The following is a 26,923-nucleotide window of genomic DNA, read 5'->3' as shown; positions in this document are numbered from 1 at the left end:
GATGGTAGTTTGTATTTCTGTGGGATCGGTGGTGATATCCCCTTTATCATTTTTTATTGTGTCTATTTGATTCTTCTCTCTTTTTTTCTTTATTAGTCTTGCTAGCGGTCTATCAATTTTGTTGATCCTTTCAAAAAACCAGCTCCTGGATTCATTGATTCTTTGAAGGGTTTTTTGTGTCTCTATTTCCTTCAGTTCTGCTCTGATTTTAGTTATTTCTTGCCTTCTGCTAGCTTTTGAATGTGTTTGCTCTTGCTTTTCTAGTTCTTTTAATTGTGATGTTAGGGTGTCAATTTTGGATCTTTCCTGCTTTCTCTTGTAGGCATTTAGTGCTATAAATTTCCCTCTACACACTGCTTTGAATGTGTCCCAGAGATTCTGGTATGTGGTGTCTTTGTTCTCGTTGGTTTCAAAGAACATCTTTATTTCTGCCTTCATTTCGTTATGTACCCAGTAGTCATTCAGGAGCAGGTTGTTCAGTTTCCATGTAGTTGAGCGGCTTTGAGTGAGATTCTTAATCCTGAGTTCTAGTTTGATTGCACTGTGGTCTGAGAGATAGTTTGTTATAATTTCTGTTCTTTTACATTTGCTGAGGAGAGCTTTACTTCCAAGTATGTGGTCAATTTTGGAATAGGTGTGGTGTGGTGCTGAAAAAAAAGTATATTCTGTTGATTTGGGGTGGAGAGTTCTGTAGATGTCTATTAGGTCTGCTTGGTGCAGAGCTGAGTTCAATTCCTGGGTATCCTTGTTGACTTTCTGTCTCGTTGATCTGTCTAATGTTGACAGTGGGGTGTTAAAGTCTCCCATTATTAATGTGTGGGAGTCTAAGTCTCTTTGTAGGTCACTCAGGACTTGCTTTATGAATCTGGGTGCTCCTGTATTGGGTGCATAAATATTTAGGATAGTTAGCTCCTCTTGTTGAATTGATCCATTTACCATTATGTAATGGCCTTCTTTGTCTCTTTTGATCTTTGTTGGTTTAAAGTCTGTTTTATCAGAGACTAGGATTGCAACCCCTGCCTTTTTTTGTTTTCCATTGACTTGGTAGATCTTCCTCCATCCTTTTATTTTGAGCCTATGTGTGTCTCTGCACGTGAGATGGGTTTCCTGAATACAGCACACTGATGGGTCTTGACTCTTTATCCAACTTGCCAGTCTGTGTCTTTTAATTGCAGAATTTAGTCCATTTATATTTAAAGTTAATATTGTTATGTGTGAATTTGATCCTGTCATTATGATGTTAGCTGGTGATTTTGCTCATTAGTTGATGCAGTTTCTTCCTAGTCTCGATGGTCTTTACATTTTGGCATGATTTTGCAGCGGCTGGTACCGGTTGTTCCTGTCCATGTTTAGCGCTTCCTTCAGGAGCTCTTTTAGGGCAGGCCTGGTGGTGACAAAATCTCTCAGCATTTGCTTGTCTATAAAGTATTTTATTTCTCCTTCACTTATGAAGCTTAGTTTGGCTGGATATGAAATTCTGGGTTGAAAATTCTTTTCTTTAAGAATGTTGAATATTGGCCCCCACTCTCTTCTGGCTTATAGGGTTTCTGCCGAGAGATCCGCTGTTAGTCTGATGGGCTTTCCTTTGAGGGTAACCCGACCTTTCTCTCTGGCTGCCCTTAACATTTTTTCCTTCATTTCAACTTTGGTGAATCTGACAATTATGTGTCTTGGAGTTGCTCTTCTCGAGGAGTATCTTTGTGGCGTTCTCTGTATTTCCTGAATCTGAACGTTGGCCTGCCTTGCTAGATTGGGGAAGTTCTCCTGGATAATATCCTGCAGAGTGTTTTCCAACTTGGTTCCATTCTCCACATCACTTTCAGGTACACCAATCAGACGTAGATTTGGTCTTTTCACATAGTCCCATATTTCTTGGAGGCTTTGCTCATTTCTTTTTATTCTTTTTTCTCTAAACTTCCCTTCTCGCTTCATTTCATTCATTTCATCTTCCATTGCTGATACCCTTTCTTCCAGTTGATCGCATCGGCTCCTGAGGCTTCTGCATTCTTCACGTAGTTCTCGAGCCTTGGTTTTCAGCTCCATCAGCTCCTTTAAGCACTTCTCTGTATTGGTTATTCTAGTTATACATTCTTCTAAATTTTTTTCAAAGTTTTCAACTTCTTTGCCTTTGGTTTGAATGTCCTCCCGTAGCTCAGAGTAATTTGATCATCTGAAGCCTTCTTCTCTCAGCTCGTCAAAATCATTCTCCATCCAGCTTTGTTCTGTTGCTGGTGAGGATCTGCGTTCCTTTGGAGGAGGAGAGGCGCTCTGCGTTTTAGAGTTTCCAGTTTTTCTGTTCTGTTTTTTCCCCATCTTTGTGGTTTTATCTACTTTTGGTCTTTGATGATGGTGATGTACAGATGGGTTTTCGGTGTAGATGTCCTTTCTGGTTGTTAGTTTTCCTTCTAACAGACAGGACCCTCAGCTGCAGGTCTGTTGGAATACCCTGCTGTGTGAGGTGTCAGTGTGCCCCTGCTGGGGGGTGCCTCCCAGTTAGGCTGCTCGGGAGTCAGGGGTCAGGGACCCACTTGAGGAGGCAGTCTGCCCGTTCTCAGATCTCCAGCTGCGTGCTGGGAGAACCACTGCTCTCTTCAAAGCTGTCAGACAGGGACACTTAAGTCTGCAGAGGTTACTGCTGTCTTTTTGTTTGTCTGTGCCCTGCCCCCAGAGGTGGAGCCTACAGAGACAGGCAGGCCTCCTTGAGCTGTGGTGGGCTCCACCCAGTTCGAGCTTCCCGGCTGCTTTGTTTACCTAAGCAAGCCTGGGCAATGGCGGGCGCCCCTCCCCCAGCCTCGTTGCCACCTTGCAGTTTGATCTCAGACTGCTGTGCTAGCAATCAGCGAGATTCCGTGGGCGTAGGACCCTCTGAGCCAGGTGTGGGATATCGTCTCGTGGTGCGCCATTTCTTAAGCCGGTCTGAAAAGCGCAATATTCGGGTGGGAGTGACCCGATTTTCCAGGTGCGTCCATCACCCCTTTCTTTGACTCGGAAAGGGAACTCCCTGACCCCTTGCGCTTCCCAGGTGAGGCAATGCCTCGCCCTGCTTCGGCTCGCGCACGGTGCGCACACACACTGGCCTGAAACTATTCCAATCAATAGAAAAAGAGGGAATCCTCCCTAACTCATTTTATGAGGCCAGCATCATTCTGATACCAAAGCCGGGCAGAGACACAACCAAAAAAGAGAATTTTAGACCAATATCCTTGATGAACATTGATGCAAAAATCCTCAATAAAATACTGGCAAACCGAATCCAGCAGCACATCAAAAAGCTTATCCACCATGATCAAGTGGGCTTCATCCCTGGGATGCAAGGCTGGTTCAATATACGCAAATCAATAAATGTAATCCAGCATATAAACAGAGCCAAAGACAAAAACCACATGATTATCTCAATAGATGCAGAAAAAGCCTTTGACAAAATTCAACAACCCTTCATGCTAAAAACTCTCAATAAATTAGGTATTGATGGGACGTATTTCAAAATAATAAGAGCTATCTATGACAAACCCACAGCCAATATCAGACTGAATGGGCAAAAACTGGAAGCATTCCCTTTGAAAACTGGCACAAGACAGGGATGCCCTCTCTCACCGCTCCTATTCAACATAGTGTTGGAAGTTCTGGCCAGGGCAATCAGGCAGGAGAAGGAAATAAAGGGTATTCAATTAGGAAAAGAGGAAGTCAAATTGTCCCTGTTTGCAGACGACATGATTGTTTATCTAGAAAACCCCATCGTCTCAGCCCAAAATCTCCTTAAGCTGATAAGCAACTTCAGCAAAGTCTCAGGATACAAAATCAATGTACAAAAATCACAAGCATTCTTATACACCAACAACAGACAAACAGAGAGCCAAATCATGAGTGAACTCCCATTCACAATTGCTTCAAAGAGAATAAAATACCTAGGAATCCAACTTACAAGGGATGCGAAGGACCTCTTCAAGGAGAACTACAAACCGCTGCTCAAGGAAATAAAAGAGGACACAAACAAATGGAAGAACATTCCATGCTCATGGGTAGGAAGAATCAATATCGTGAAAATGGCCATACTGCCCAAGGTAATTTACAGATTCAATGGCATCCCCATCAAGCTACCAATGACTTTCTTCACAGAATTGGAAAAAACTACTTTAAAGTTCATATGGAACCAAAAAAGAGCCCGCATCGCCAAGTCAATCCTAAGCCAAAAGAACAAAGCTGGAGGCATCACACTACCTGACTTCAAACTATACTACAAGGCTACAGTAACCAAAACAGCATGGTACTGGTACCAAAACAGAGATATAGATCAATGGAACAGAACAGAGCCCTCAGAAATAATGCCGCATATCTACAACTATCTGATCTTTGACAAACCTGAGAAAAACAAGCAATGGGGAAAGGAATCCCTATTTAACAAATGGTGCTGGGAAAACTGGCTAGCCATATGTAGAAAGCTGAAACTGGATCCCTTCCTTACACCTTATACAAAAATCAATTCAAGATGGATTAAAGATTTAAACGTTAGACCTAAAACCATAAAAACCCTAGAAGAAAACCTAGGCATTACCATTCAGGACATAGGCGTGGGCAAGGACTTCATGTCCAAAACACCAAAAGCAATGGCAACAAAAGCCAAAATTGACAAATGGGATCTAATTAAACTAAAGAGCTTCTGCACAGCAAAAGAAACTACCATCAGAGTGAACAGGCAACCTACAACATGGGAGAAAATTTTCGCAACCTACTCATCTGACAAAGGGCTAATATCCAGAATCTACAATGAACTCAAACAAATTTACAAGAAAAAAACAAACAACCCCATCAAAAAGTGGGCGAAGGACATGAACAGACACTTCTCAAAAGAAGACATTTATGCAGCCAAAAAACACATGAAGAAATGCTCATCATCACTGGCCATCAGAGAAATGCAAATCAAAACCACTATGAGATATCATCTCACACCAGTTAGAATGGCAATCATTAAAAAGTCAGGAAACAACAGGTGCTGGAGAGGATGTGGAGAAATAGGAACACTTTTACACTGTTGGTGGGACTGTAAACTAGTTTAACCCTTGTGGAAGTCAGTGTGGCGATTCCTCAGGGATCTAGAACTAGAAATACCATTTGACCCAGCCATCCCATTACTGGGTATATACCCAAAGGACTATAAATCATGCTGCTATAAAGACACATGCACACGTATGTTTATTGCGGCACTATTCACAATAGCAAAGACTTGGAACCAACCCAAATGTCCAACAATGATAGACTGGATTAAGAAAATGTGGCACATATACACCATGGAATACTATGCAGCCATAAAAAATGATGAGTTCATGTCCTTTGTAGGGACATGGATGAAATTGGAAACCATCATTCTCAGTAAACTATCGCAAGAACAAAAAACCAAACACCGCATATTCTCACTCATAGGTGGGAATTGAACAATGAGATCACATGGACACAGGAAGGGGAATATCACACTCTGGGGACTGTGGTGGGGTCGGGGGAGGGGGGAGGGATAGCATTGGGAGATATACCTAATGCTAGATGACACGTTAGTGGGTGCAGCGCACCAGCATGGCACATGTAACTAACCTGCACAATGTGCACATGTACCCTAAAACTTAGAGTATAATAAAAAAAAAATAAAAAAAATAAAATAAAAAAAAATAAACTCATTAGTGTAAATGCAAAAAAAAAAAAAAAAAAGATTTTTTTATTGATTGGTCTGTATAATCTAGAACCAAAAAAGCTTTGGGTGTGATGAGATTGTGCATTATTCAATATTACTAGGACCATACAACTTTAAGGATATTTTAAAATACAACCAATTGAATTTAATTTTTTATATGGTTTTAGCTGACTTCTAGCCCCAGTTTATGAGGACTTCCTCCAGATCTGATAAAATATGATTTAAGGTAATGAATGGAGGAAAATGCAACCAAATACTACAAGTTACATATGTGCATATAACTCAAGAACATTTTGTCTTGTAAATTTGACTCTAATTCTTTATTTTTAATGTCCCCAAGATATCTCATTATACAGCTAAACTATACTTACTTATTACTTATCATCATCCATTATATTTTCCAATTTTTCATCATAATAACTAATACCATGTTGTATTTGTTAGTTCATCAAAGAGTATAAGCATATACGGCTGTTGACAAGTACTGCTAAATTACCGTCCAATAAATATATACTCTCCAGCCACATGACCTGAGTGTTTGTTTCAACGATGATAACATTGACTGTTGTCACCAAAAAAGATACATACAGTTGCTTAATGGAAAAGTAAAAAATACATAAATTTTAAAAGGGGTGAAAGATATTATATTGTTTTAATTCTAATTTCTTTTACTATCATGACAAACTTTTTGTCTAAGCTTATTGGTCATTCACATTTCTCTTATAAATTATCTGTTCTCTGCTATTTCTAAATTTAAACATATATCATGTTTCTATTAATATATTACAATACTTTACAAATTACATATATTGACCCAGTGCCTTTAACATATTTACAAATATTTTTATACTTTGCCTTGTAGATTGATTTATAATACTTTGTTACATACATAAGTTTGTAGTCAAGTATTTCAGTGTTTTCTCTATGGTTTCAATAATGATGATGGATTGACAGGACATCCATTTGTATAATTTATTACATCAATAATTTTTGAAGACCCAGAATAGCCAAAAGAATCTTGAAGAAAAGAAACAAAGTTAAAAGAATCTTGAAAAAAAGAAACAAAGTTGGAAGGCCAACACTTCTTAAACTTCAGAGGTTACTACAAAGCTATAGTGATCAAGACAGTGTGGTATTAGCATAAGGATAAGCAGATTGATCAATGCAATAAAATTTAAAACCCAAAAATAAACCCTTACAGTTGTGATCAGTTGATTTTAGACAAGGGATCCAATACAATACAATTCAATGAGGGAAAAAATAGTCCAATAGTCTTCTTAACAAATAGTGCTGGAAAAAATAAATGTCTACATGCAAAAGAATGAATTAGGTCCCTTCCTCAAATCATACACAAAATTAGTTCAAAATGAATGTAAGAGTTGAAACTATGTAACTCTTAGGAAAAAGAAAACCATAGAAGTAAATCTTCATGACCTTGGATTAGGCAAGGATTTTTTTAGACATAACACCGTCAAAATCACCAACAATAAAAGAAAAAGACAGGTAAGTTGGACATCATCAAAATTACAAACTTTCATGCTGCAAGTGAAACCATCAGGAAAGTGAAAAGACACCCCATAGAATGAGCAAATATTTGCAAAAAGTATGTCTAATAAAGGATGAGTATCTAGAATAAGGAACCCTTAAAGCTCAATAATAAAAAATAAACAATCCAATTGAAAAATTGGCAAAGCATCTGAATAGGCATTTCTCCAAAGAAGATAAACAAATTGTCAATAAGTATCTAAAAAGATGTTCAATATCATTAGTCATTAAGAAATAGAAATCAAAACCATACAACTACACACCCACTTGGGTGGTTATAATCAGAAAGACAAATAAAAATGTGAATGAAATTGGAACTCTCATCCTGCTGAGGAGAATTAAAATGAGGCAGACGCTTTGGTCTGGAAATCCTTCAATATGTTAAACAAACATAGAGTTACCATATGACCAAGCAATTCCGTTTCTAGATGTATACCCAAGAGAAATGAAAACATATGTCCACACAATGACATGTTCACAGCAGCATAACCAAAAAGCAGAAACAACCTGCATGTCCATCAAGTGACAGTTAAAAAAAGTAGTATATCCAAATAATAAAATATAATTTGAGCATAAAAAGAATTGAAATACCGATACATACTGCAACATAAATGAACTTTGAAAATATCGTGCTAAGTAAAAAACTCCAGATATTCACAAAAAAATACAAAATGTTCACAATAGGCAAATATATAGGAACACAAAGTACATTAGCAGTTTCCAGGAGATAGAGGCAGGTGGAAATGGGGAGTGATAATAAATGAGCTTGGTGTCACTTTTTGGGGTGGTGAAAAAGTTTAAAATTAGATTGCAGTAATAGCTGTATAATCCTGTAAATACACAAAAAACTAGGTTGAGTTCTACACTTTAAATAAGTAAATAGTATGTGTGTGAACTATATCTCAATAAAGCTGTTAAAAAATAAATGCTGGAAAGCAATTTGATAAAATTCTAAATCTATTCATGATAGAAACAAAACTTTGCAAAGTGGAATTTAATAATTCTTTGACGTAATAGAGAATATCAAGCCAATATTATATTTCAGCACATTTAATAGTAAAATACTGGAGGCACCCTCATTAAACAGATAAAGCAGTGTACTAATATTTAACATATTTCTGGAATACTGAACCAATGCAATAAAACAAGAAAAAGAAATGACATTTTCAACATTCACAAGAGATATTTTCTGTATATAAAATTCAGTAGCTTAAAGAATAACTGTAAATTCTACACATGTTCATCCAAACAAAAAACTGAAGAGAATATTCCTCAACTCATTTTATAAGGCCAGTATTACCCTAACACCAAGACAAAACAAAGACATTACAAGAAAAAAAATTATGGTACAAAAGATCTCACCAACAATTTGCAAAAATTCTTAACAAAATATTAAGAAATAAAAAACAGCAGTACATTTTTTAAAATCATCATAATAGACTTAGAAAGGCAAGGTTCCTCACTATTTAAATATAAATAAATGTAATTCATTATATCAACAGACTAAAGGAAAATGAATATGATTATCTTAATATAAGTACAAAAGTCACTTAACCAAATTCAACATGCATTCATGATTTAAAAAAAAAAAAAAACACGCTCTCAACAAACTACAAATAGAAGGAAACTTCCTTAGTCTTATAATAGGCATCTACCAAGAAAATCTGCAGGTAGCATGATTCTTAATGATGAAAAGACTGAAGGCTCCACTAAGTTTGGGAGCAAGGCAAGGATGTTTTCTCTCAACATTTCTACTCAACATCCTACTGAAGGTCCCAGTCAGTGCAATAAGGCAGGAAAAATAAATAAAAGATAAGCAAATTGAAAGGAAGAAACAAAATTACCTCTATTCATGGACAATATGAAAGAACGACTAGAATTAATATGTGAGTTTAGCAAAGTTGCAGGTCAATATACAAAAAAAATCAATTTTATTTCTACATATTAGTAATGAATACTTTGAAATTGAATATTTTCAAAATATAATTTACAAAAGCACCAAAAATAAATATTGTATTATACTTAAGTATCGGTGTTTTTAAAAAAAAAAATGTGCTTACTCTGTATGCTGAAAACTTAAAAACACTGTGAAAGGAGTCCTAAACAATGAAGATGTATATTATGTTCATGGATTAGAAGACTTAATATTGTTAAGATTTCAATTATCCTCAATTATCTAGACATGTAACATACTCCAGTATATTTCCAGGACATCTTTTCTTTCCACTGCTCAGAGAGAATGTAAAGTGCAGAGATTCTTAATCTTTTTTGAATTACATATCTTTCAGAAGAAAATTTTAAAACAAAAAGGAAGCAGGGAGGGTACCTTAATGCAAGACAACATGAGCAAGGGGAAATAGGTTTCTATAGTTCATATTATTAAGGAATATTAGAGCTGCATCCCTGGAAATCACCTTGCCCAACACTCTGTATTACAAACGAAGAACTTGAGCCCCAGAGAACTGATGCAGCTTGTTAAAACTCATACAGCCTCACAATTTTTGGCACGTCCTGGCAAAAGATAATTCTCCTGAATATGTATCCAAATTACTTTTCCCAAAACACTACATTATATATATGTAAAGAGTGATTTCCACCTGCCTAGAATACTTTGCATCTTGAGACCATGAATCTTGTTTCTCACTCTGCAGCACTTACATACAGTAGGAAAGCAATAAAATTGTACTAAATTGCATTCAAAAATGCCCAATAAATTGGTCTATGCTGAGCAACTGATATTTGCTTATTCTCAGATGAGGTTAGTGCACTTCATTTGAAGTATGTATGGCCCAGGATTCTCTGGATAATCTGGAACCAAGAAATTACCTGGAGCTAAGAAAGTCCTTTACCTCACCAATGGCAAGGATGGAAAAGGAAAACAATTCAAAATCACTGCCACAAAGCATGCATCAGAGAAATCAAGGTTTTTTTTTTTTCCTATCTAAGACTTAAAGCTGAAGATAAACAAAAGAACCAAGCACCTCACTTTTTTTTTTTTTTTTTTTTTTTTTTTTTTTTGAGACGGAGTTTTGCTCTTCTCGCTCAGGCTGGAGTGCAATGGTGTGATCTCAGCTCACTGCAACCTCTGCCTCCCGGGTTCAAGCATTTCTCCTGCCTCAGCCTCCCAAGTAGCTGGGATTACAGCTGCCTGCCACCATACCCAGCTAATTTTTGTATTTTTAGTAGAGACAGGGTTTCACCATATTGGCCAGGCTGGTCTCAAACTCCTGACCTTAGGTGATCCACCCGCTTCGGCCTCCCAAAGTGCTGGGATTACAGGCGTGAGCTACCACAGTCAGCACCCACATCTCATTTCGTAATTCAGGGAATTTTCACTCTCAAGGCTACTGAAAAGTACCAATTCAGAGGACTACCCCTACTAAAAACTGGTACTCCTGTTCAGCCCTGCCAATATGAGAAGAAAGCTTGATGAAAAAAAATTGTCTAGGGCATTGCAGGGCTTGTGAAAAAGAGCTATCCCTTGCCTCATCTTAGGGAACTTCTCTTGCCCCTTAACTGAGAACAAATCACTTTATAAAGTTTGAGGGTATCAGCAAGATGGAGAGGCTGATATTTCATTCTGTGGCTGGAACTAGACATGAGTTGAGAAGATTAAGAGCTACAGCCTCCCCAGAACTGACACAGCAAGGTGAGAGGGGAATATAGGAGAAGCAAAGTGTGATGCCATCTCCTGGGAGTCAGCAGGAAGATGCAGCTGAATCTTCTAAGACGTCACCAATGACTTACTCCTCTAGATTAAGAGTTCCTCGTCTGCAAGGCATGTTTAGCAACTATTCACGTACTTGGAGTTCATGGACAATGAGCAAGAGCAGCCATCATGACCATCCAAGGGCAAGACTGCAACATGGCTCAGTCATGAAGAAAGTGTTCATTTTTCTTTTTTGTTTTTTTCCTTTCTTCTGTCCTAACATCTAAGAAATTACTTGCAGGAAGAACTGTGTAGAACTCTCTGAGAGCCAGTCCACACAACACAGATCCTCACTACAAGACAATAAAACCCCAGTATTGGTGGAGGAGAGAAGCACTACTTTGAATGTAATATGAGATGAAAGTTTTAAGTTGAAAGTACTGGATCTTAGAAACCAATATAAAACCACTTAAATAACTAACAGCAATAGAATTTCTACAACCAAGCCAAGCTATCATTAAGTGAGCCACTATCCGGGATGAAAAGTGAACTCAACATGACATGGGGGCAGAGATAAAGAAAGTAAAATGTTTCAACTTTATATATCCAACAAAATGCAGTTTGTCAATAAATTGGTTACATATATTGAAGTATTATATATATAAGTGAAACCCAAAAAGATTCTAAGTTTAAACTTCCCCTAGTTTCTCCCCACCTAACTGGTTTGTAAGCCAAAATTGACCACTGAAAAAAATTAGGTTCCTAAAACTCCTACACTGATCACAGCCTTCTCCATGACTAATTTCATATAAAACTTCTCATCTCATCCTGCTCCAAGCCATGCGAGTTTTGTGCTTTTGACTCACCTTTCCATTTACAACTTCATTTAGCTCTTAGACTCAACATTTGGCACAGCTTCCCTGGACATGACCTTTTGATTCTCCCTTCAAATATGATTCACATTTTCCTTCCAGTTCCAGAGCCTTCAATCATCCTGGGTCAATGTCTCACCTGATTTAATTTAACATCTGGGCTTGCAGGCTTCAGTGCCACCCCAGACTGCCAAAGCTCCCATTTGTGTTTTTTATCTAGACTAGGCCTAAGGAGTCAGACCATGCTAGAACATAAAGAGGGCTATTGCACGAGGGGGACAGTCTTTTTTTTTTTTCTTCTTAGATCCTAAGTTAGTAAGTTTGATGTTGTCTCCAACCAGTGCCCAGATCATCCCATATCTAAGGAGTCATTGCCTGGAAAGTATCAGACAGGGTTAGCCTCATTAGCACCAAGTACCATCCAGCACTGAGATAGTTAACCAGAAACATGTTCTAGCAGAAACCTAAGGTTTCATAGATAAACAAAAAGCCACTTAAAATGAGGATATGTGGATGGGGACTTATAACAAAGTACTATAGATTTTAATTTTAACTATATCAAATAGAAATGTAAATTTATTTACTAGTCTTATAATAATAAGGCCACAATTTTTTCTTTGACTCTTCTGATCAGAGTTCTGCTTAGTTCTTACTGTATAAACAATACACTTTCAAGCATCACCCATGATCTCTGGTTTTTGTTTCTTTAAAGTGAAGCCAGAACTTCAAGTCATTTATAAAGAAAGCTACATGGAAAAAAAAAAAAAAAGCTAAGTGCAGAATTCTAGATTTTTAGATTTTTTGTCAACATTTTTGTAGTGGTCTCATAACTATAAAATCAACAGCAGCTTTGTAAAGTAATCCATCTTTACTGAGTCCTTCAAAAATATTTCAAGTTTGTTTTCAAATAAACAGCAAACATCTTTTCACAATCATATTCTATTGCTTTATATATTAGCAAATTAAAATTTACAATTATAATTTCAAGTACAACTAGAATAAACAGGTTTTGGAATAAACTCAACTGGCTCTCTCAGTAAGCATACAATTTTTTCTGAGCATAATTGTACAGGCTTACTAGAAAGTAGCCTGCTAGTTATAAGTACTTGCTCTGCTAAGGGCATTAGTTAGAATGTCTTAGAGGGAATGAAAAACATTCACTAATCTGGCAAGTCAATTAAACAGACGCATGTTAAAAGAGCTTCTGCTATACACAATAATATTAATAATGATCATTTATAACATGCTTTATTGTTTACAGCATGCTATCACACACATTACCAGGCACACACAAAACACTCTTTGTAAATCCCCTTTTTACAAACGTTTACTAAATGTAAAAAACTAAAATTAAATCAAACGATGAATAGTTATTTTTATATTTATTTCTCATTCGTTTTACTTCACTTTAATTGCAGTGTCTTTAATAGCTTTGATCTTTCTCCAATTTCCTGAAATCTTCCCCATTTCAACAACTGACACAATTTAAGGTTTCTAGTAAACACAAAAAATGAGAAACATTGACATTGAAAAATAAATAAGTCAGTGAAAGTGATGATATGTTAAGAATTAAGATACTTCTATAGAATTGTATATTTAACTTCTTAGAATCAGGGAAAATTTCATGAAAAATGAACTCCAGGCCAGGTGTGGTGGCTCATGCCTGTAATCCCAGCACTTTGGGAGGCCGAGATGGGCAGATCACGAGGTCAGGAGATCGAGACCATCCTGGCTAACACAGTGAAACCCTGTCTCTACTAAAAATACAAAAAAAAATTAGCCAGGCGTGGTGGTGGGCACCTGTAGTCCCAGCTACTCGGGAGGCTGAGGCAGGAGAATGGCATGTGAACCCGGGAGGCAGAGCTTGCAGTGAGCCGAGATCGCGCCACTGCACTCCAGCCTGGGCGACAAAGCAAGACTCCATCTCAAAAAAAAAAAAAGAAAAGAAAAGAAAAAAAGAAAAATGAACTCCATATTACACTTGGAGTAAAATAATGGTCATTGGAATTGGACTTTTAAGAATGGATATAATTTTAATAACTGAGGAAATAAGTGGGTAAGGAAACGAATTTCCTCCAAAGTGAATGGCAGGAAGAGAATATAGGAAGGTATAGGGTGTGCTTTAAAGTGCAGAGTATACAAAAGAATACTAGCAAACCAAATCCAGCAGCACATCAAAAAGCTAATCCACCAACATCAAGTAGGCTTTATCCCTGGAATGCAAGGTTGGTTCAACATACACAAATCAATACATGCAATTCACCACATAAACAGAACTAAAAACAAAAACCATATGATCATCCCAATAGACCCAGAAAAGGCTTTCAATAAAATTCAACATCCCTTCATATTAAAAACCTTCAACAAACTAGGCATTAAAGAAGCATACTTCAAAATAGTAAGAGCCATCTATGAAAAACCCACAGGCAGCATCATACTGGATGGGCAAAAGCTGGAAGCATTCCCCTTGAAAACTGGAACAAGACAAGCAGGTTCTCTCTCACCACTCCTATTCCACATAATACTGAAAGTCCTAGCCAGAGCAATTAGTCCAGGGAAATAAATAAAAGGCATCCAAACAGGAAGAGGAAGTCAAACTATACCTGTTTGCAGATGATATGATTCTCTGCCTAGAAAACCTCATAGTCTCTGCCCAAAAGCTCCTTTATCTGATAAACAACTTTAGTAAAGTTTCGGGATACAAAATCAATGTACAAAAATCAGTAGTATTTCTATACACCAACAGTATTCACGCTAAGGGCCAAATCAAGAACCTAATTTTCTTCACAGTAGCCACAAAAAGAATAAAATGCCTAGGAATACAGATAGCCAAGGAGGTAAAAGATCTCTACAAAGAGAATTATGAAACACTGCTCAAAGAAATCAGAGATTACACAAACAAATGGAAAAACATTCCATGTTCATAGATAGGAAAAATCAATATTGTTAAAATGGCCATACCGCTCAAAGCAATTTACAGATTCAATGCTATTCCTATCAAACTACCAATGACATTCTTCACAGAATTAGAAAAAAATATTCTAAAATTCAGATGAAACCAAAAAAGACCCTGAATGGCCAAGGCAATCCTAAGCAAAAAGAACAAAGCTGGAGACATTACATTACTTGACTTCAAACTATATTATAAGGCTACAGTAACCAAAACAGCATGGTACCGGTAAACACACACACACACACACACACACACACACACCAGTGGAACAGAATAGAGAGCTGAGAAATAATGCTGCATATCTATAACCATCTGACCTGAGACAAAATCAACAAAAAACTAGCAATGGGGAAAGGACTCCTTATTCAATAAATGTTCCTGGGATAACTGGCTAGCCATCTGCAGACAATTGAAACTGGACGCCTTCCTTACACCACATATAAAAATCAACCCAAGATGGATTAAAGGTTTAAATGTAACACCTAAAACTATAAAAACCCTGGACAATAACCTAGGAAATACCATTCTGGACATAAGATCTGGCCAAAATTTCATGCCCAAGACACCAAAAACAATTGAAACAAAAACAAAATTGACAAATGGGATCTAATTAAACTTAAGACCTTCTGCCCAACAAAAGAAACTATCAACAGAGTAAACAGACAACCGACAGAATGGGAGAAAATTTTTACAAACCATGCATCCAACAAAGGTCTAATATCCAGAATATGTAAGTAACTTACAGATTTATAAGCAAAGAACAGTTGTATTAAAAAGTGGGCAAAGGACATGAAGAGACACTTTTCTACAGAAGGCATAACATGGCCAATAAGCATATGAAAAAATGCCCAACATCACTAATTATTAGAAAAATGCAAATCAAAACCACAATGAGATATACAATCTCACACCAACCAGAATGGGTATTATTAAAAAGTCAAAAATTAACAGATGATGGTAAGATTGAAGAGAAAAAAGAACACTGAATACACGCTGGTGGGAATGTAAATTAGTTCAGCTATTGCAGAAAGCAGTTTGGTGATTTCTCAAAGAACTTAAAACACAATTACCATTTAACCTAGCAGTCCCATTATTAGGCTCATACCCAAAGAAATATAAATCGTTCTACAGCAAAGTCACATGCATTCATATGTTCATCACAGCACTATTTACAACAGCAAAGACATGGAAACATCCTGAATGCCCATCAGTGGTGGACTGGATAAAGCAAATGTGGTTCATATAAACCATAGAATACTGTGCGGCCATAAAAAAGAATAAGATTATGTCCTTTGCAGCAACATCAGTGGAGCTGGAGGCCATTATTCTAAGCAAACTAACACAGGAACAGAAAACCAAATACCACATGTTCTCACTTAGAAGTGGGAGCTAAACATTGAGTACATATGGACACAAAGAAGGCAACAACAGACACCAGTGCCTACTTGAGGGTGGAGGGTGGGAGGAGGGTGAGGATGGAAAAACGAGTACTATGCTGATTGCCCGGGTGACAAAATAATGTGTACACCAAATCCTCACAACATGCAATTTATTTACCCATATAACAAACCTGCACATGAACCCCTGAACCTAAAATGAAAGTGAAAAAAAAAGAGAGGAGAAATAAAACAAATAAAATGAAGAGTATGTGCTGGAGCAGTAAGAGGAAACTCGGCAAGCACTGATTCAGAACCCTGCCTTAGAGCAAAACTCTAGCAGTCCCAGAGTGAGTCAGTGAGATCCAAAAGGCCCATTTCTGAGAGACAGATGAGTAACTCTCTCCAGAAGCCACCAACGTGGATATTATTGAGTTTAGATTTTCTGAAGCAAACTGAGAGAGATTTATCTTTTCTGGGTCTGGTGGTTTTAAATTTTTGAAACCATAGCCTCAAAGACAGGAAAACAGAATCGTCAGTCAGAGGGGGCCACCCATGCAAAAGCGTGAAGCCTCTAGCCAGGCCATTTATTCTGGTCGTGTCTTTGGGCACAAGACAATTGTTTGGGATGAAAACTTGGGAATCCACAGCAAGTGTAACATAATATAGACATTATTGTGAAGGAAAGTTTGCTTTTCTAGTGATCAGGCTTTCCGATAATCAAAGGGGTGATGTGACCAAGCCGTATAATATGGGGTTCCTTTTGGCAAAATTGCTCAGCGAACTATGTAGATGAAATGTCTTTCTCTTCATAGGATATTTTAGAATTTAGTTTACTATAAAGTATGAACTCTAAAGTTAATAAACAGGGTGGCACTTGGTGCCAAGGATTAAATATTTACTGGTAAAACATACAGTGATGAAAAGGATTTTCAAACAGGCAATAAATCATATGGTCTGAGCTCTGTATTAAATATTCTTTTTACCAGGGAAAAAAATAAAATTTAGCCCAAGAAAAAAATTAACCCATTGTTGTGGCTCCCTGGGGCTGAACTTATCAAGAACCAGTAAATATTCCTTTGAAAAACCAGGTAAATAGCAAGATTTTATTTAATCTTTGTAATGATTCATTTCTTTAGTGAAATAAAGAATGTTAACATCCCATCCTTCAGGTACCCATGGTTGATTCTTCCTTCCACAGGCCTCTCCCTTCCAGCCTTTCCTATTTTACCCACCTGGTCTACTTTTAAGAGTCCAATGGTTAAGAGCACATGTCCTACCGCAAGTCTGTCTGGGTTCAAATTCTGATTGCCAATTCCTAGCTGTGTTACTTAACCTTTCTGTTCTTCAATTTACTTATCCACAAAAGCAATATATTAATAGTACCACCCTATAAGCTTCTGTAAGAACTAAATGATTAAACGAGTTAATATGTACACAAAAGCACTTAGAACAGTCTAGAAAGTAGTAAATTCTTCATATTATTATCCTTTATCCTCCTTTTTAATTATCCAAATATTTTCCATCTTTCAAAACCCAGTTTAATTCTGTAATGAGCTTTCTTTGGTTAATGCAAACCTTCCCTAAATATGCATATCCTTTTAGGCCTGCACCTGTCTTTTTTGATATCTAATTGCATCTTATGCACTATCCCAAATTGTTTTATGATTTTCCTAACAGATCAATCTCCTAAATAGAGGACAAGGAATAACTTTTTAAAAATTTCTTTCATCTGGATATGCCTTTAGGAAAAGGATGACATCAATAGTAGCGTCCACAAATTTTGCATTTATGGAAAGCATACTATGTGCATTCTGCAGAAAACTGAGCACACAGTTTTCCCCCATCCTCCAACCTGAATAGTGAGAGAGGTGGGTGCAGGGTGTAAATCATGTTTCCTGTGTGTTGGCTGACACTTGGCCTGAATAGATATGCTCTTGATAAACCATTATTTAAGATTGGTCGGTGGATGGATGGTTGGATGGATGAATGGATTAATATAGGACCTGAGGGGGAAAAAATCCTGAAGAACAAAAGAGAAGACTTTGCCTCTGGAAATGATTTACTATGGAAAGCAGGAGTACATTTTAGAAGATATCTGCTTCACATTATCTGTAAGGCACAGGAAAAGACTATGAAAAAAGAATGAGTTGAGATAAAAACCCAACAGGCAAGATGTTGGTTAGGAATATTGAGTCAAGACATTCATTGTAGTTGGAAAGTGGAGGAAAAAAGAAGGCCACAGAGGCACAAAGAGGGAAACAGAGAGAGGAGGACAGAGAAAGAGAGAGAAACTGATACTGTAATACTGCTCCGCATTGTAATTCTATTTCGTTTAAACGCAGCATTCATGGAGAGCTGCTAAGTGCTTTTCTATAGCCTGAAACTTGTGTTCCTAATTAGACTTATTTATGCACAACACTAAGAACATGCAACTGGTGGAGACAATAGAAAGAAACGGGGGAGCAATCAAAGGTCAATGCTTTGCCTGGGTTAATAGAGATAATAGTGGCTGAGTGCTATGTTCTCCACTTTCTTTATCATCGTGAAGACAAAAAACCCTACTCAGCATAATATAAAATCATAGGTCATGATCAAGATCATTTGAGACATATCCCTGGAGCTTCAAGATAGGGAGGCATTCTTTCAAATCACATCCAAAATGATTTTAAAATAGGTCTCCAGAGGGGTAGATTCTAGTGTGATAAATAGGACCTGCAAATGGAACTATTCTGCCAATCATATTTCTACCTGAAATCCTATATACTGTGAAGGGGATTCAACAAGTGAAAGTAAGGTACAGATTGGTGAGAAGATCTCACGTGAAACTCAATGCGTGGAAAGTTGTAAGACCTGAATTTTAGTTCCATCCTTTTCTGTTAATTTCTTCAGCAATTCTACCCCAGTCATCAAATTTCTGAGGCTTGTTTTCTGGAGCATGAAAAGAACAAGCACAAGCCGTAGGTCCCAAAACAAAAGCGGGAACCACTAACCATTCACCAGGACTTTATAAGGTACAAAGCACTATGATATACATTATTCCTTCTAGAGGTGATAGATTTGAATGGTAAATACTTAAAAGATAAGTTTTTAAATTAACTATGGGATTTCAAGTGAGGATAGAAATTATGCAAATACGCTAGTTTGCTTCCTTAGCACCACTTCCCACAGCCCCATCTAAATCCTCTTGCAAATTAAACTCCTATAAATGTTGAACCTCCTAACTCGATTTCAGAGTTTCCTGGTTTCTTTTATGTATTCTGCATAAATACAAACTTATTTCTGTTTGACCATATCAATACACCTTGCAAACAGCTTTCGCTCAGAGATCATAACTCTGTGGTCTCATAATAACAACTGAAGTCTACAGACCCTGTGGCTGAAAACAATGATCATGATGATGGTGATTAACACTATGTTGAAAATGGTAATAGTGATGGACTCCTACCATGAATCCAATGGAAGGTAGCTCTAAGGCTGCCTCTGTGGTCTGAGTTTCCAATCTTCCATGAGGTTCCACTTAAACACACAACAGATGCACAAAAAGCCTCAGCAATTGCCAAATTGTATTATTTTAAATAGCAAACCAAATCTGCAAGCCTTAGGCAAAAGTTTTCACAAAGCGCATTGGGAAGAACGCCAGCTTAGATGATGGTAGAAGTTTTGATTAGGAGTTTGCCCACATCTTAAATAAATAAATAGCAACCTTCCTTACCACCCAGAATGGTTTTTCTTTGAATGGGATTATTCCTCAGTGGAAAGACAAACACTGAAATTTGCAGCAGAGGTTTTCTATGCCTTGAGATTAAACTATAAGAAATAAACCTGGAAAAGGAAGGGGTAGAGGAAAGAATAGCTCCCTGTTGGACACTGCCTGTCCTTGGTCTACATGCCCACAATAAATCCTGCCATCCCCATGCTCTTCGCTCAGCCTGGGGTGGACCTCCTCCCATCGTTTTGCCTCCTCGTAAATGCCTCATGGACCCTCAAAGGTCCCTTTTCTATGAAGCTTGTATTCAGTGCCCCCATCATTGTCCTTCTGTCATAGCCTGTATATCTGACTGTATTATAGCTCATCTCAGGAGGCAAGGCTACTCAACCTGGAGTCAGGATTCCAGACTTCCAATCTAGGCTACCAATTTGTAAAATTGGAATAATAATAACTGCCTTTTTAGGGTGTAGTAAAAAAGTAGTCTGTGTCCAGGGCTTTATGCAGTACATAGACAAAATCACCAAGCAATAAATTGCTTGCTTTTACCACGTTTTTCATTTATATATTTGGGTATAGTTTGTCATTTGTGTATCCCCAGCGTCTAACATGGTACCTAGCACAGTGCAGGCATTTAAAATATTTTTTGTCATTTAACAAATGAATGAATATGTACAGTGCTTCACACTTTTAAAAGAATTTCCACATTTATGGTCTCATGGGCTCCTCATACTAACCCTCAGAGAGAGGTAAAGCAAGCCCAGGACCCCTTCCTTGGAGGGAATGCTCTCCTCTAGCTCCATGGACATCGGCTGGGCTGCCAATCATGAGACACATTTCTCCTGAGTGCAAGGTAGAGCACATGGCCAGACTGAGCCAAATAAATGATTTCTAGCAAGGTTGCACTTTGAAGAAAAAAAACAAGGGACTAAAACCTGTTGGAGCTACTTTAGTCAATAGTAGCATTGCTGGAAAATTTTACCAACTGCTGGTACTGAAATTCCAGGAGCTGCCTTATCCAGCCCTTCCTGAGGTCTGGTTGTTGAGTGCTTCCTCTGAGTCTGAATAACACTAGATCCTTCTAGCGAATGTCTTTCTTTATAAACCCAAGATCAGTTTCTAATGCTTAGAAGCAAAGAGTCCTAAAAATAAAATTAAAATCTCCGATTTACCGTAAGAAAACTAAAACTCTAGAGTTGAAATCATTCATGTAAATTCCAAAACATACAGAATTTAGTGATGTATTTTTTAGGAACACATATATAGGTAATAAAATTATAACAAAAACAAAGGAGATGAAAAATACAAAAGGCACTGGAGAGTGCTTATACTTAGGAACAAGGAAACAGAAAATGATCAGGAGAATCAGATAAAAGTCATGGAAGACTCTTGTAATGTTCCCTTAAGCTAGAGGATGAGGTAAAATGTGATGTATTAATCTTGTATGCACATGTGTGTGTGCATGAATATATTAATATATTTCATGTATAGAATATCTCACAGTGAAATTATTTTTTCATCAATGAAATCAAAGGCCCAAAGAGGTTAAATGATATGTAAAAAGCAGAGTGGCAAATCATGGCTAGAACCCAGGCTTCCAGTGGTTTCTCCACTCTGTCCTAATTTATTGTAACTATGAGCTGCTACTCCCATAGTATGGAAAATGGGAAATAGCACATGGGACCTTTTCAACTGAATTTAGAATGAAAAGCTGCGGATTAATAGCTGACCTATAGTATTAGAAAGACTTAAAATGGGCTTTCCATTCCTTGCGAAAATCACTCTTGGAAAAAACCTCAGAGACCACTTGGTTCAACTCCAGGGCAATGTCCTCTCCCTCATTGACAGTGGGCCTGCAGTGAGTGGGCACCTCCATGTCCATGAGCCTTCTGCAGCTATACTGCTGATCACAAGATATGTGTACATCAGCCCTGGCCTTTCCTAAAATCAATGAGCATCAGACCAGCAGCATATCAGTGGTTTCCTCCCTATATCTGTTGTCCAAGTGCCTGGACATGAATAGGAAGTGTTGTCAAGAGCACTGTCTATTCCCTTTGTGTGGAGCAAGACTGGACCATCTAACAATCTCTGCCCCTGCCTTTGCCAGTGGAGACAAAAACCCAGGCTCAACACTGCAGCCACAGTGTGAGGTCACCGGAGTCCCTGACTCCTTCTTCCTGAGTTTGGACCTTCATCCTGGTTTCCTGGCATTCGCTCAAGTTTCTAATTTAAAAACTTGAATTCTCACATGATGGAAGAGCCATAATTCAGAAACCTTGAAATGATCTTTGATCAGATCCATCAGACGTGCTAACTTGCACATAATTTTGCCTCAGACCTCTTGGACTTGTCCCATCGGGCCTGAGCTGATGCCCCCATCAGCCTTAGAAGGAGGCTTTTTCTCTCCAGAGTTTCCCAGTCTCCAAGTACTCGGTACTTATTGAGTTTTTGGTCCCCTGTTAAACATGTACAAATGCAACTAATTCTATAATCTGGCCTATATCTCCCTATTTTCTTGACTACAATATCAAAACAGATTTATCCTAAACATGCCCTAAGTTTCAGATTTATGTGTCTAACAATTTTCCTAATTTACCAGTCAAATAACTATTAAAATGATAGCAGCTCACAGCTACATTAACTGCTCCTAGTGAACCCATTCTTGGTCCCAGTGCCAGGAACTTCTTTTTTGATTATTTGAGAATCACACATTTAATAATCTGTTTTAAAGGGTCCTAGATGTCAATGCCAAATTTACTATCTATCATTTGCAGACTGTTCCCCTTTAAGAAAATAGGACAATATTGTCTATTGCTAATATTTCCCTGAGACTTCCTGATTCCTTAATGCTGTTTTAGTCTTCAGATTATTGTTTTCAGCTGTAATTTTTCTTGGTACTTTAGGATGTAACTAGTCTGAAGTGAGACATTGTAAATAGCCAGGGGCTTACTTCCAATTCCTCACTTGTGTTTTAATTCTCTATACATGATGTTATCATTATCAAGTCATATGATACAGTAGACACGGCATCAAACTGAGCATCACAAGATCTAAGTTCTAGGTCTATCTCTGCCATTCATAACTGTAGGCAACTCTCTTAATCTCTCTTAGCCTGATTTTCAATATCAATTAAATTTGAACAATACCACCTGTTCTGCTTACCTTGTGGGGTTGTTGAACGGTTCAAATGAGATGTTTTATGCAGCAAGATTTTGTAAACTACAAAGCGTTATACAAATAGAAAGCATTACTATCCCCCACCCCCCCCCCCCCCCACTTTCTGGGCAATAGGCCATTTCCCTTGATGTAGAAGATAGAAACTTGTGTTGGATGCAGCACCTTTCCATGTGGCCAAGTCCTAATGAGCACAGGCTCTCTCTTACTCTTGCCAGGTTCTCAACTTTTGTCCTGAACCTTTTTGTGTTTGCCCCATCTCAGTCTACTATCTGACCTACTGCTGATCTCCTGGGGCCCTAACCCCTAGACATATTTCCTGTCTGTGGTCTAAAATTCTCCCCCAACAGCTGATATTTGATATTGAGTTCAGTGCTGCCATCTTTGAAGGATGAGAGTGGCAGAAACTTTGGCTCTTCTGGTACTTCTTATGTGGCAGGAGATGGGCCTGCAGACCCAAGGCTCAGGCCAAGGCACATAGTCAAATGACAAGCTCCAGCTCTGGTGACTTTATTGACCAAAAGGGCCCATGCCCGTTTGTTGTCCTTATCCAGGACACATTTTAAAAAGGGCTTTTTATTACCCAATAAGTCACAATGACAAAGTCCAAAAGCAAAGATTCGGTACTATTCATGCTGAGAATGGCTATTAGCTTTCTGTAGCTATATTATTTTATCTATTTAGGATGAGGGAATTCCCATGAAGCCAAATCACCAGCCAATGTTTTTAAAGCTTGAGCCACTATTTTTCTCTATGAAAACTAACTGAAGGTAAAGAAACAAGCCTCATTCCCTTCCCATGCCTGAGGCAAATATTTCACTGGCAATTGGAAAGTGATCTCTTCACCTGGTGCCAAACACTCTCCCAGAACCTTCTTTGGCTTCAAAGGGCTTTACTTCATTTCCGCTGGAGCCCACAAAAGGGCTTGAGAAGCAGTCGTCAAGTCACAGGAAGCCAAGGGGGCTCAAGGGAGTATAAGATCACAAAATTACAAATGGGTGGGAAAGATGGAGTATGTGTGTGCATATATAAAAATTATCTTAATAAAAGGTAGAATGAAGATTCAGTGAAGCTTGCTCTGGTTCCTAAGTAATTTGGTTCTGGAAGCCCTATTCATTGGTTGGGCTCCATCAGATAAATGAGAAAAGCAAAGGACCCCTGGACAAGCCAAGGCAGAAGCAGACTCCCCTGCTCAGACAAGCCTTCCCACATGCGGCCTCAGGGCCTGCAAACTACAGTTGACTTCTCCAAGGATCCTGTTACAGTACCAGCCCTCCAGCTGTCTGCAGCTGTGTGCCTTCCAGCCCCTCACAGCTGGCTTTTCAAATAGAAATGGCCTCTCTAAGACAGTTTACCAGAAAACATTGTTTCAATCGCGCAGTGTGTTAAAACATGATTCTAAAAGCAGCGATTACATGAAATGAATTGCAATATTAAATATGAAGGTGCACTTGGCCCAATGCATCACATGTGGTAGGTACTCAGTTGAGTGGCAGATTTTTTTCTTCATTTCTTCATCTCCTCTACTTTTTATTCACATCGAATTGCAGACCGGTTGGAATACTGTAAAAGCATTTTCCCTGGGGAGCTCTGGACGTTTCATAGGTATGCTCATTTGTGTTTGCATGGTGTATACATATGTGGGTTCCTGAGTTTGTGGAGGGGGTACAATGCATCTGCAGTTATATGTGTGCTATATAAAGCATGCCTCAGTGTTTTTTTAAAATATCAATCATATGTATTCCAAATGCGTAGTTCACGACCATGTAGGAGGGGAAAGGGCTTAAAGGCTTTTCCGGGTGAAAACAGCCTGGGAGTTGAGTTTCATGCTTTTATAAGGTAGATTGGGTTGGGTTCAAGATAATAACTGAATTAGAAGGAAGTCATGGAGCAAACAATAGTTCACGCTGTATCCTATTTTCATTTAAATCAGAGGCTGTTGCTTTCATCTGTTCTTATTGACACAGTTCAACTATTGACTTCTTGTTGCTTTGAATATGAGGCTCACAAGCCCAGGGGGATCTCACTGCATAAACAAATGGGGGGGAGCGGGTGAGGGGCGTGTTGTTGTTTTAAATGCTATACACTTCCAACTTGTCCATTTTTGAAAGGTGAGTTCTTAAGTTCATGTCTATGTTAGGCTGTTCGTTCTGAGCACAGTAATTTTAACAGACAATGGTGGATAATTTTTAAATATGCATTTGTATTAGTTCTTTCTACTTCTTTTTCCCATTTACTTATCCTCCAGGAACTCAAACTATGGTTTATTTATGGTGCATTCACCTTTCCTTTCTCTGTTTTTTCTTCCCTTTTCTTCTTCCTACCTTCCTTTCTTTCTTCTTTCCTTCTTCTTCCTTCCTCTTCCTTCCTGCCTCATTCTCACTCATTTGTTTCCCGAACACTGGCTTTTGATTCATGACGCAACCTCCCTTTTGCCAGATCACATAAATCAGGCAGCTTCTTTTCTTTTTTTTTGTAAAACACCTTCTTCCAAACTGTGTTTTCCTTCTGATTTAACTTTTCAAGAGTAGTCGGTCTCAGGGTGACTGAGAAACCTAGGTATGAGGGAAGTGAATGACAAAAGATGGTTTGGCAAAGTCACAGCTCCCCCACCCCGCCCCAACAATGAATCTCGCCAAAGCCCTTTTCAAATCTGGAATTATTTTCATGCAGCTGAAGAAGGTCGAGTTGTTGAGTTGCTCCTTCCGGCTTCTTTAGTTCTCTCCCCTCTCCCGGCCTCCCCAGCCCACCTGTCTTCCTCACTGAGTAGAGAAACAGAGCTCAGCAAATTAAAAGGAGGAAGCAGATAATGTAGGAAGAGCTGAAAACTCAAGGGAAAACAATAAAACATTTTGAAGTTTTGGGGTCAGATACAGAATCCAGAATAAGGTGCTTAGTATTTTTCCTACATTGCAAACCCTTTGTCTTTCTAAGCTACTCTGGCTGGCCTGCTCTCAGGCTGTGAATTCTGTTATCCCTGGTAGAGCCCCAGCCTCAGCGGATTCCACCTACATTCCTTCACAGCCCTGTTTGGGAGGGGGGGTCACGGGGGACTCAGGGGAGGGGGAGGAAGGGCAGACCCTGGGGATTGTCGGACATACAACACTGCTCTGCACCACAGCTAGGATTTTAGCCTATTTGTTTTGAAGTTCGCCCAAAGTCGCAGAGTTGAAATGCCTGAATTCAATACCACTTCCCCTCACCACACACTCAGCCAAATGTCCTTGGCTTTTCAATAGACCTAACCTCTTGGCACTATTGAGTCTTGATGTTTTGCATTCTCGTTTCTTAGATTTTTAACCCTCAACTTTCCCTTCTCTGGGTTAAGCTTCATAAATCACTCAAATGTCTTACTGCCTGGGAAGAAATGCTTCCTTCCTTCCCTGCTTCCATCCTTCCTTCTATCTTTTCATGCTTTCATCCCTCCTTCCTCCTTTCCTGTCTCCCATCATTTTTGCTTGCTTTCTTTATCTTACTTTTTCAGAAGGGGAAATGGAAAGCAGTGGAGGAGGCCTTGGAACCCTCCCTGGAATGTGGCATCACAGGGATGGAGCCAATGTGGAGTGGTGGGAAATGGAGAAGTGTAAACATGATGCTTAGCCAGTCTGCCTAGAGAACAGAATTCTCTTTTTCATCTCCCCAGTTCCTTTTTGGTATATTTGTTGAAGTAGCTGCAGAAAGCTAAAATCTAATCCTTGTCCTTAGGATTGTCCCAGCCTTTGGCATTGAACAGTCAAGCGTTGCCCTTGAGTAGCAAAAAGGGCTTATTGTCCATTTGTCCCTTTGTGCTCTTATAAGTGCTTTTCTAGAGACCTTCTTCTTCTCCTGGCCATGTCTACCATGGCCAAGTTCCTTAGTTTACTTCCAGCTAGGATTGGTGTTAATTTTTAGAATTTAGGTGTTTTTCATAGGTTTGTCTTCACTTTTTAACCATTTGGGTCTTTAACCCTAGAAATCCCATAAGA

The 26,923-nt window shown here is 38.4% G+C and overlaps 2 annotated features.

The window, feature by feature from the left end:
* Positions 2,282–2,853: an enhancer, noted in NCBI's record as "NANOG-H3K27ac-H3K4me1 hESC enhancer chr11:121694789-121695360 (GRCh37/hg19 assembly coordinates)". NCBI's record gives its function as "activates a minimal SCP1, AML or CMV promoter by ChIP-STARR-seq in primed H9 embryonic stem cells {active_cell/tissue: H9 hESC(primed)}" and the evidence as "EXISTENCE:reporter gene assay evidence [ECO:0000049][PMID:30033119]".
* Positions 23,724–24,571: an enhancer, noted in NCBI's record as "H3K27ac hESC enhancer chr11:121673071-121673918 (GRCh37/hg19 assembly coordinates)". NCBI's record gives its function as "activates a minimal SCP1, AML or CMV promoter by ChIP-STARR-seq in primed H9 embryonic stem cells {active_cell/tissue: H9 hESC(primed)}" and the evidence as "EXISTENCE:reporter gene assay evidence [ECO:0000049][PMID:30033119]".

The sequence above is a fragment of the Homo sapiens genome, chromosome 11 (assembly GCF_000001405.40).
Source record: "Homo sapiens chromosome 11, GRCh38.p14 Primary Assembly".
NCBI lineage: Eukaryota > Metazoa > Chordata > Mammalia > Primates > Hominidae > Homo > Homo sapiens.
This window is presented reverse-complemented; position numbering and strand designations above follow the sequence as displayed.